We start from the raw sequence: 12,606 nt of genomic DNA, 5'->3' as shown, positions 1-12,606 counted from the left end.
AAACATCAACCTTCATCAGGAGGGTACATGTGATCTGAGGCTGGACAATTAAAGTAGTTCACCATGTTTTGATAGAACTAGGTAGGCATTTCAAGTATCTTTCAAAGGCTAAGAATATGGACTGGCATTATTTTTAACCTTTATCAATGACCTCAGTGATGATCTACAGCACTGGCCAACAGAACTTTCTGTGATGACGAAAGTGTTCTATACCTATACTGTCCAATATAACAGCCACTGAGCATTTGAGACATGGCTAGTATGACAGAGGAACTACATTTTTAACTTTAATTAATTTAAATTTAAATAGCCACACAAGGCTAGTGGCTAATATATAGGGCAATGCAATATCTAGAATATATTACACGGCATGATAACAAGACAGATGGAGTTTCTAACTTAGAAAATACTTGCAAAACAAAAATAGAGAGTGGCAAATTACAGAAATGTTTTATTGCAACTAAGATGAAATTCAAGAGGGGTTTGTACAATAATTCCATATATTTAGGTGTAGAAATTCTGTTTAGGCACAAGAAAATGATCAGAAATGACCACAACTTGCTTGTAAGCATTAAAGTGCTTCCATTAAAACAAAATATGCCAACCCTGCTGGAATGGTTTAATAGGAATACGGCATGAACGGTCCAATTAGTGGCTCTAACTGACGTAGTAGAAAGAAAATTAAACTGGGATTCTGAAGACCTGCTCCATCTCAGTTTGGCACAGACAGGTGATATAACCACCCTGAGACCTTAATTTCCTCATATGCAAAATGACTGAGTTAGACCAGATGATTTCTAAGATACCTAACAATAATTTACCTGTAAGAAATAAGTATATAAATAATTGTATAACTAATACTGCAATTCACAAACCAATTCTGGCAACCAAAACTATGAGATTTATTTGCCCAAAAAATTAGAAGAGGCTACAGAAATATTTTTGGATGCATTACAATATTTTATAGAGAAAATAGTCATTAATAGTAATTATTTAATTTCTGAAGAGAGTACAAAAGAAGAATGAGGTTTAGACTGAAGCACAGGGGCTTCACTTAAAAAAAAAAAAGACTTCCTAGATGGTATGGAGTAGAATATATAATCAAGGAGGTTGTAGAATCTCTAATCCCAGAGATTTTTACAGAATCCAAGATAGAGAGAAGGGCCTCCCTAAGGAAGCCATGGTGACAAAATAAGCCCTTGAGCCTCCTTCAAATTCTGTGTAGTCTATTTTTAAAAACAATCCATCTTTAAAACAAGAGGATAAGATGCAAAAGAAAATCACTACTGTTAAACTGAAAAATAGTCTAACAATTTTTATGTAGGTCATATATTGTTCTGAGAATTTTCTTAATGATAACAATTTTGGAGTCTTTATTTAGGGATCTTACAAACAGCAGGCATTACAAAGAGCCAGCATTATTTGTGCCTTTATTACAAGGTTGAAATTGTGATGAATGCAGGAAAACATGTAGAAACTTAGATCCGAGAGAGAGAGAGAGAGAGAGAGAGAGAGAATCTGTAAGCATGCCTGGGACCTGACGATATTTTGGGAACCTCTGGATCCAGCCACTCTTGAAGTCCTTTGATTTATCTGCTGTATGAGTCAATGCATTCTTTTTCCTTCAATTAAGTCTGTGACTTTCAACTGAAAGAATCTTAAGCAGAAACAGTGTCAGAAAGACTGAGGGGAGAATACCAGAGGAGAAGGAACAGGGAACTGTGTACTGTGTGGTAGGGGAAATGCAAGAGTGGTACCTTTGGTGTGGTCAGGAGCTAGATACAACCAGGAGACCCTTTTATGTGTAAAGGAGATAGAGAAACATTTAGGCAAACACTAAAAGAGATGAAAAAATTACCTTAGGAAAAAAATAATTAGTTTTAACCTCCTGAACAATGTATAGCCAGCCATGCTCTGCAACTAAAATGTAGAACTTTTTTCTCTACTTTCTTCTAAATGTAATACCTGACATGAAATGTTCAGGTGGATGAGACTCCTACTGTCCTATCTGAAGAGATATTCTACTATGAAAATAATTTTCGGCCAGGCGCAGTGGCTCATGCCTGTAATCCCAGCACTTTGGGAGGCCGAGGCGGGCGGATCACGAGATCAGGAGTTCGAGACCAGCCTGGGCAATGTAGTGAAACCCTGCCTCTACTAAAAATACTAAAAATTAGCCAGGCGTGGTGGTGGGCACCTGTAATCCTAGTTACTAGGGAGGCTGAGGCAGGAGAATCGCTTGAACCTGGGAAGCAGAGGCTGCAGTGAGCCGAGATCGCGCCACTGCATGAATCCATCTCAAAAAAAAAAAAGAAAAAAAGAAAGAAAATAATTTTCTGCAAACTTTTTCCACCCTATCACAGCAATAGCTTCTTAAGCTTAATAAAACATGGCCTTTACCATACCAAATAGTTAACAGAATGTGGAACAAGAAATAAACTGAAGATCTTCTTGAGTTCTTCCCATCCTGCTGAGCATTTTCCTCATGTTCTCTAGTCTCCAGACTTGGAAACACTTTTGTTGCAGTAATCATTTGGTTCACTTTTCAAAAAAAAAAAAATAATAAAAAGCTGTCCCCTTGTTCCCTTTCTAGAGTCACATTGACATAGGGCAATCAAAGTAAGCCATTATCAGAGAATCCCCTGCTTTGTTCAAATTATAAACATCAATGGGCATCTCTCCTGGGAATTCAAAGAGCACATAAGTGGGGGTGAGCCAGGCTTGCTGTTAGTAGGATAAACCAGGCTTGCTTGATGCTTTGTTTTAGCAGACACCATAAGTAGTGATTACAGTTCACTTGGGTTTTGCACTGATCCTCAAAATGCTGACAGTTACTTAAATCACTCACTGGGTGGAATAATCACCCTGCAAGGAACTGAGAGGGTACAACTTATATTATAAAATGGAACTGAGCACATGAGGCAAAGGATTAACAGGCGTGGTAGATGAGATCTTTGTCAGAATAACAGAGATGATTATAGGCATGAATTAGACATCAACTTTACTGGGTACTTTCAGTGACATGAACACAACAGCTAAATCGTGCAATTACAAAGTTAAGCATAACTCAGAATGCATCTTTCTCCTTTTGAAAACAGTTGATGCCAGGTTAGCCTGTGTAAATCACTCAGTGGCTTGCTACACAGGTTATGTACTATCTTGCTTTGTGAAGCCCTTTTAGAATGGGCAGAATAGAAATCTAGAATGGTATGTCATTAGAAATAAGAGATTGTAGCATTAAATATTAGATGCTAATGACATACTAAATGAGAGCACCCCTTCCAAACATTACTAAATAAACTACCTAAGCAGCTCTGCATTTGCAAGTCAAAGAAAACTAGGAAAAGAGGCAAGTGGCCCCTTTTTTAGAGCTGCTCATTTTGCAATTAGCAAAGAAAAAATTAGTTCTTTCTGACTTTTTCTAGAGGGGAGAAGGGAGCAGAGTGGGTTTGGGAGACAAAATGGATAATTTAAACTGCTGCTTGTAATAGAACTGCCTGATATTATGGGATTATAAAGTTAAAGGGGCCTTTACGGATACCTCCTTATGTAAAATCTGCTCAAAAGTAATACTGTGCCCAAACTATCCTTAATTGGTAGACACATTTTCTATTCTTATAGATTTCTGAGAATAAACTTGTATAATTTCATCATCAGATAAAAAGCAGTCTTTTAGAGTTGGGCATGGTGGTGCATGCTTGTAGTCCCAGCTACTTGGGAGGCTGAAATGGGAGGACCACCTAAAGCCAGAAGTTCAAGACTAGCCTGGGTAATACAGCAAGACTGTCTCAAAAATAAGTAGTATTTTCAATAAAAGACGTAAGAATAAAAGTATAAATATGCAGTAATATTTTAAGGAGATTTCTGGTGCAGATTCTATGATCTCCCTCTGAAGCCCACTGCTTCAGTCCCTTCTTCCCACCCTGCATTGGCCCTTGGGATAGGCAGAGAATCAGCATGAGGCCATGCAAGTAGTGAGCACTCAAGGGGTTCCTTAGACTCTTAGAGGATAAGCGAATAATTTACTCTGTGAATTTAATCCACACCTTTCCATCTCTAGGCTGGAAACATGGTTAATCAAGTAATAATACCTTCTCAAATGACGGTGATTAAAAAAAGCTCACTCTGACATGTACAGTCCAAATAATGTGTTTTCTTTCTAATAACTGTCTAATAGCCCTAATATTAAATTCAGAGGTGATTTTGCTTCCTTATCCTTCCTGCTGTTTCTTTTGCTTTTTCTATCCTGTTTCTATCTCTCCATTCACACATCTAAATCTGTCTTTTGGTCTGGACGTGCTTGCTCACGCCTGTAATCCCAGCACTTTGGGAGGCCGAGGCAGGTGGATCGCTTGAGCCCAGGAGTTTGAGACCAGGTGTGGTGGTGCACACTTGTAATCCCAGCTACTCGGGAGGCTGAAGCATGAGAATCGCTTTAACCCAGGAGGCAGAGGTTGCTGTGAGCTGAGATTGTGCCACTGCACTCCAGCCTGGGCAACAGAGTGAGACTGTCTCAACAAATAAAGAATAAATCTGCCTTTTCCTTTATGCCTTCTTCATATCATGTTTTCTTTGTCTCTATTTTAACTGTGTTATACATACTCCTGAAGTAATGCTTTAAATATAATTTTATAGTTATTAAAGTTTATGTGCCCTAAAGTTTTCAAATTATTTTTCTCTAAGTCACTGGTCCTTCATAGAAAAAGAGGTTCCCCCTAATTTCATGTTCTGTTCCTTAATTTCTTTGAAATCTGTAATTGCTATCTCTTAGCCATCTTTTTTCCAGAATAATTGTTGTCTTCATTGACTCTATTTTCTAGCACCTTAATCACTTCTATGACTAATAAAAAGATTAGCTTTATGTCAAGTAAAATGAGAATGTCAGCTGTGCATACAGCCCTGAGCTCCGAGACAGTTTCTGCCCTTGAGAAGTTGTTGTAAGGAGGAAAAAAGGTATTGCTTTCTGTTCTTGAGACTTAATGGCTCAATCCTAGATGAATTTATGTTTCTAAGGCCATGTTAATATCAAGCCACATTAACATGGGCCTTTCCTGGATTCCCACATTCCACACAGGGAAACCAAGATTAGTTCCTTTCCCAGAATCACAAAGTACAAGAGGTGCAACACAAGCAGAATTCTAACCAGGATCTTCTGACAGCTTGGGACACGCCCCCATACGGTGACCAGTGTACACTCTCATCTTTCAATGAATGCATTCAGTCTAGTTCCTCAACTGTCCCCACAACAGCTTCCTACTAGATACTTACTCTGGGATGTAGAAAGATTGGAGAAAGCTGACTTTGTTCGACTTGCCAACCATTCCAGGCTTTCATGCATGTTGGCCAAGGCTTTGAGGTCACTGACGTCACGAAGGATGTCTTGTGGAGGGATTAATTTATCACCCAGGTTCCCAATAAGAACTTCAGACTCCTTGCCAAAAGCTGCCCTGAAAAGCAAATCAGAAACACACTTCATATATACAGCATGGAAAAGGTAGGACCGGGCAACACTGTTTTAGGCACACCTAGCACAAGGACTGACATGAGCACTATTTTACAGCGTGCTCTTTTTCCTAGGTTTAACTTTGTGAGACAACTATCACATGCCTGCTTAACATGATTCTGATAAGGGAAAAAGTTCTTGGAAGAAGAAATAAGTGACTCCAATGATTGTGCCTTCAACAGGGACCAGTATGGGCCTGATTTATACAGTGACGGTTCCTGGGGATGGCGTCTATACTGCTCTCCTGTAGGTGTTTTCCTTGCCTCTTCTTATGCTATAGAAGTTGATAAACAGCTTAGGGTGTTAAATATGTACATGGTTTAAAGTTTATTGTAGTGAAAATAAAATAACCAAGTTAATCTGGCACCTAGAAAATATTGAATAATGTTCAAAAGCAAAGACGATCCAGCCTCTTTAAAAGAGGAGGTTACAACTGAGATGGATGACAGGCTTCATTTATTCATTTACTTAGTTGTTCTAAAAAGGATCCAACACACATAAAGTATAAGTATTAAGGCATTTAGCATTTGGAAAAAGAAACCAATTAAAAAAAATCAATGCTGGGATCCTTTTACTGACTGGAAAAATATAATCTAGTGGGTTTCACGCAGAGCCCAATATCTTCAAAATGTTTTGCAGGGGGCAGGGCGGGGTTGAAAAATCAAGTTACAGGGGGTTACAAAGGATGAAGCTGGAAGGGACCTGAGATCATATAGCTCAGCCACTGCAGAGATGAAGAACTGGAGGCTCCAACAGTTAACTGTTCTGCCTACATGACACATGAGTGGCAAAGCTAGGACTCAGGCTTCCTAATTTCCACAGCTCTCTTTCCTTTTAAAAAGGAAGAGGGCTAAAATTAGAAAAGATGACTGAAGGCCGGGCGCAGTGGCTCAAGCCTGTAATCTTAGCACTTTGGGAGGCTGAGGCAGGTGGATTGCCTGAGCTCAGGAGTTCGAGACCAGCCTGGGCAACAACAGTGAAACCCCGTCTCTACTAAAATACAAAAAATTAGCCAGGCGTGCCGGCATGCACCTACAGCCACAGCTACTAGGGAGGCTGAGGCAGGAGAATCGCTTGAACCCGGGAGGCGGAGGTTGCAGTGAGCCGAGATCGTGCCACTGCACTCTAGCCTGGGCAACAGAGCATGAGACTCTGTCTCCAAAAAAACAAAACAAAAACAAAACAAAACAAAAAAGATGACTGAGAATGTTAGGGGAAAAAAATCAAGAAAGTTACACACAGGTGGGTAAGCAGAGCTGATGCTGGAGGAGGTTGAAATAGGCACCTGGAGAGTTTTCTGTAAGACCCAAGGCTTTTAAAATCTCACACACCTTACCTGAGAAGAAGCAAGGGCTTAATTTAACTAGAACAAGCCAAATTAAGTTTCGAGCATGCAGTGATTAATAAAAATTGTTGACACATAGAAAGATGCTTAATTGACACATAGGTGTTTAGTGCCCAGCACTACAGCAGATGCCCAATGTTGAAAGAAACAACTGCTGTGAATCAAATCGTTATCTAAAATGTTTATCCTACCAAGTAATGAGTCACGACTAGCCTCCTTATTTTAGCCGAGGGTTATCTTTTTTAAAGGAAACGTCACAGTTGATGTTGAGGCAATGAAGAGCAGTGAACCGAGCGCATGGAATGTGGGTGTGCACCAATCTGATCTGAGGGGCTTGGAAAAGGTCTTGGGGTGGGGCCCTGAATTCTGCATTTCTAACTGATTTCCAGGTGATGCCCAGGCTGCTTGTCTGAAAAGTGTTTTCCTTGAGTGGCAAGGGTGGGACACAGACTTCAAAGTGAGATAAACCCAGGTTTGAATACTGAATCTGCCACTTGCTTGTTGTGTGACACTGCTTAACTCCAAGCATTATTATCTGGAGGTAAAAGAACTGACCTGATATGAAGTAATGTAAGGATTAAGTGTGATTTTTAAAGCTTTTCATTGGGAAAATTTCAATAATTATGAAAGTAGAAAGAAGAGTATAACAAACCCCCATGTAACTGTCTTCCAGCTTCAACTATTAGCAACTCATGGAAGTCTTATTCCATTTATCCTTATTTATGCCTCCCCATCACCACTTTAGAATATTTTAAGGCAAATCATTCAGGGGATGCTTTTAAGTGCATAACACAGTGCAAACAGTTTTTACTTGGTAAAAACTATTGTTGTTATTATTCTTAGGTCTGTTGAGATGGCTAGTTTATTTAGTGGGATGATGAATGAATTTAGGTAAGAGTGAGCAGGAGGAAGTATGTTACATATCAAGGGCTAGTTTTACAAATACCAACCACAGCGTCTTACAGCCCAGACTTTCATCAGAATTTTCAAGATGTTAATTATTGTGACAGAAACCATTAGCTGCCTACCCAGTATCCATTATCCCATGCGTTCTTGGTAAAAGTACCCTGATGTTGTTGGGGTCAGCAATGTGCCCAACTTAAGATGAAACAAAACAAAAAACCCCACCAAGTTTTCCTGCCCTTCTTGCAGATGTGGTGGCCAGTGAGATGTAAACTGAAATCAGTAGATGGGCATCAAGGAAGCTCTCTTAAGCAATCTTAGTTGGCAGAGACTCTTTTGCCTTCTCTCTTCATGGAATGAAGCCACGGCAACTGGGGCTGCAGTAGCTCTTCTCAAACATCGGGTGACCTTGAGTATGGAAGCCAGTGCTGAGCATAATGGAGCCCAAAGATGGTGGGGCAATGGTGCACTGATGCCATCATGGAGCAATAGTGCAGTCCCAGACAATAAAAATGCTTTTGAGCTTCATGTCATAGCAGAGAAAAATGAAACCCTACTTCTTTAAGCCACTGCTATTTCAAGTTTCTGTTAGTAGCTGCTAAATGCAATTTCTAGCTGACTCATTTATCTAATTAGCATACGAGATGTCATCCCAAGAAAACTTTCTCTGAATTTGGATAGCTCTAAAATCCACTTACTAGGAAAAGCAAAACAATGTCTCCTCCGTGATTTGAGCCCAGAAGACATTTACAGTATTTCCCTTGGCTGTCACTCAGTCAGGTTGTAAATATTTAGTTTTCTTAATCTGCCCTTATATATCAACTCTTCGAGCCCCTTAATCATCTGTGATAGATATAACACAAAAAATGCCTCTGAGCTGGGTGGTGAAAAAGCAACAGCGGGGGGCAAATGGCTTTGAAAACCAGGCTTGGAGCCATTTTTATGCATATTAGGTGTAGCCCTAGGTGGAATGCGACAATTAAGACAAATGTATTTATGTAAGAAGTCTAATCTGCTTGAGTGGGGATCTTGGGCCCTGGGCATGTCTGCCGTGTGCTGCCAGCGCTTGATGCCTATCCCGTTTCCCTCTGGCTCACTGGGATTTGCTTAACCTCCTCAGACAGGAGAGCAATAGACTGAGAAAAATACAAACTGCTTCATGTTGAATACACAGCAGACATCTCATTTGACAGGAATCCATAATCACCCCCTAACAACCTGAAAAGAGCACAGAAACCATGACACAGAGAATAAGTGATTGACAGCTATAACCATTTCACACAAAAAATCATTCCTTCGAGGATTTGTGTGTGTCAAAGAGCTTGGTGGAAGGTTTTTATGTGTTAGAATAACTTTAAAGGGATGGCTTTAGCTGTTTGACTACAGATTTTTTTCCAATCCCTCTGATTTATTAAATTATGATCTATCTATACTATGGAAAACCATGAAGTCATTAGGAATTATGTATATAAAAAACTTGGTAACACAGAAAAATGTTTGGTGTAGCTTATTTTTCATTATGATATGCAGTTGTGTAAAATAAACTTATACAACTATAGGTACTGTATGATATTAAGAAAATAAATAAATATATGAGCAGAAAAAAGGTTGGATATCTATATGCCAAAATGTCAACTGCAGAAATGTATCATGCTTTGTGCTTTTCTATACTGTCCATATGTTCTCCAAAAAACAACTTCACGTTTTAGTGAAGAGAAAAACGGAACGTCTCACCACATATGAGAGAACTTTCAAATGGGCACGCCAGGAATCCCAGCACATAAAACTGGAGGACATTGGGTATTAGTTACTTGTGCCAAGGTGGGAGGCAATGGGCGCACTGGCCTGAAGCTGGTCTGGACTGGTGGCTCCAGGCTTGCGGAAGACACAGTCACTTGTCCCCTGCAGAAGACCTCGCAGCCAGAATGGCTGCTGCCTGGCAACTGGACAGTATTATTTCCACTTTCTAGGCCTGAATTTTTATGTACCCTTCATCTTCTGCTTATTATGATAACACATTATTTAATGAAGACACTATGTATTTTTGAGTGAAACAGGCAGCAAATTAACATTGTCTTCAGAAGGTGAAGTAACAGAAACTCAGAGGTAACAGGCACTCAGCAATTGCTCAAAGATGATCTGACACAGCCAGGAGCAGAAATCAGAACTCAAAACATGAATGTTTTGGGTACTGGATCCCATCTGAGGACTTGCCTTCCAAATCAGTTGGCCAACAGGCTCACATAGAAGCCTATGAAACTAAAGAAGAATGTTAAACCTGTTAAGCCTAATTTTTACCACATAATTATTGATAATCTTTAAAGAGCTCTATCTGACAAGAATTCATTTAAGGTAATTTTGCCAGGAGTGTTAAACCTATTTAACTTAATTTTACCACACAATTACAATCTTTAAAAAGGTCTATCTGACAAGAATTCATTTAAGGAAATTTTGCCAAAGATGCTCAAAATTGTCTCCATTTAGTCTTTAAAGAATTCTGTTAGCTACTGAAAGGAAAGCAAAAAAGAAAAAAAAAAAAATCTGCGCTTTCAGCAGACCTGATGCAATTATGAACGAAACATTACAAAAGGTTTCAGGGATTGGTCTGCAGACCTGTGCTGTATCTGATCACATTTTATTTATTTTCTCTCCCTCTCTCTCTCTCTCTCTCTCTCCTGGTCCTATTCCCCAAATCTTTCATCACCACTTCCTATTGCTGAGCCCAGACCTGAGATAACTGCCCTAAGAGCCTAGGAAATGCTGCCTGCAAAGTCAGTTCCCCTGTAATAAAGAACAGAGCAGGGGAAAGGTCAGGACAGACTCAAATGGCCAAGACTATTGACAACAGTGGTAATTGGTTACAAGGCCGCAACATAAAACTAATACATATGGTAATGATATGGGTACATAAGAGAATGTCTTTCTTCTTGGGAAATGCATGCTAAAGAGTTTAAGAATAGAGGCCATTATGTCTGTGGCCTACTTTTGAATGGTTTGGCAAGGAAATGTGTGTATATATTTGGAGATAGTATAGAGTGAGTATAGCAAGATGTCAGTGGTCAGGAAATCTCAGTCAGTATATGGTACATATGCATTCACTGCACTGTTAACTTTTCTGTGGGTTTACTATTTTTCAAATTTCTAAAATAACAACAAAGAGTTAATTAAGCTCAGGGAACAAATAAGAAGTGAGAAAAAGAATTTTTTGTTGGGTTTTTCAAAATCAGTATCTCTCCTACTCCTGTCCAAAATAGTTCCTAAGATGGTGAGCTCCTGGGAATCACTTCCACATAGACCCCTTGACAGTGCTCTTTAAGTTTCTTCCCAGCGTGCTGTTTCTGGAAATGAAGGTTTTACACAAAATATAACATGTACGATAAGAAGTTAATGCACCAATTACAAACTTAAGCAATATTACGAAAGCAATCAGAATCCCCGCAAACTGTCTCTGCCATTTTAATTTCAGAACTGGAGAGAGAAAATTTAGAATGACAGTCAGTTACGTTTTGACATGTTCAATCCAGGAACGCATAAATGCATAGTTTCTTCTGTCAGTCTATCTTTCTGTCCTTGTGTAAGTATTTTGGAGTGGTTTATGTGCTGTGTTCTTAAGGCTGAGCACAGAAAAACTATTATGCATAATTTAGCCTCTTCTAGAAGAAGCAAGGTTAGAGTTACCAAGGCTATGGCAGAGGCAAAGGTCTAGAGAGTAAATTGCAGACACCATTCTGCTAAGGCAGCTTTGCCACCATGCAGGCTCCTGGTCTAAAAGAAAGACACAAACACATCACCCTTATGGAGGCTGGGTTGGTAGCAGAACACCAGGATTCGAACAGCTTCTCCAATTAGAGGCCAAGATGTTAATCACAGGTCAAGGTGTGTGATAAGTTCAAATGCATTAGTATGAGAGATTTATTATGTTTTGAAAACACCTGTTCCTATTTGACTCAGCTCTATATAACGTGTATGAGAAGAAATTCTTTAAAATTTCTCTATCATTATACTTTTAGTTTAAGTTACAGTTTTTCTTTCCTAGCAGCATAACTTTTGTTCTTTTGCCTATATTATTAACAATATATTCTATATTTTAAATAGTTAACTTTTTTATTTCTGAGTAATTTTCAATTGCCAATATAAAACTGCAGCTCAGAATTTGGGCAAACAATTAAGTCTTTGTACTCCATATTCTGAGATTCCTCCTACACTATCCTTTCTCTTATTTGAATCCATTACTTATATATCAAGTAGCACATGAATACAGACATACATTCATTCAACAAGTATTTATTGAGCCACTATTGGGTGACTCATATGATGTCTGTCATTAAACACTTAAATTCTAGAACAATAAAACCGGCTAGGCACCCTGGTCATTAACCTTATGCCTTTGATATCAGTGTTGAATCCTGAGTTTATCTAAGAACTTGATCCTTTCAAAAGCAATTACAGGCAGCTTTTGGTTGTATGACAATGTTTTTCTGGAAACCTCACTGGAAAATAGTTAATTATCAAATAATTGACCAAATTTTCTTTTAAAACAGCTTTACAATTGAAGGTTGTGTTTCTGAGACATCAAATAAATGACGAATGCTTGAAAAAAAAAATGCCATAAATGTAAACTAGAACCTGAAGTAGTAACTAAAAATAGTACAATTATATTCAAAGTTCCACAAAATGGGTAGAAATATACTAGGTGATTACACAAGGGGTTCCAACCTACTCTGAAGCATAAATATCTGGCTTAAAAACAGAGCTTTACTGGATGTTAAATAAGACCTAACAGGCTAGTTAAAACAAATAAATACACATAAACACATACACACACACACAAACATCACTTAAGAAAAAAATAGCC

The 12,606-nt window shown here is 38.8% G+C and overlaps 1 protein-coding gene across 10 annotated transcripts in view; it reads right to left on the bottom strand.

Moving 5' to 3' along the window:
• Nucleotides 1-12,606, bottom strand: part of EXOC4 (exocyst complex component 4) — an 847,874-nt gene that overhangs the window by 157,614 nt on the left and 677,654 nt on the right. For all 10 annotated transcript variants that reach the window (XR_007060126.1, XR_007060125.1, XR_007060123.1 and 7 more), the window contains one exon: nt 5,269-5,447. Coding sequence is in view for 2 of the 10 variants with exons in the window: in NM_021807.4 (NP_068579.3) it covers nt 5,269-5,447 (179 nt within the window). In the remaining 8 variants the exon portion in view is untranslated. The remainder of the gene's footprint in view (nt 1-5,268; nt 5,448-12,606) is intronic.

Source organism: Homo sapiens, chromosome 7 (genome assembly GCF_000001405.40).
Source record: "Homo sapiens chromosome 7, GRCh38.p14 Primary Assembly".
Lineage (NCBI taxonomy): Eukaryota > Metazoa > Chordata > Mammalia > Primates > Hominidae > Homo > Homo sapiens.
Note: the sequence above shows the minus strand (reverse complement) of the source record. Positions and strands in the feature narration are given on the sequence as shown.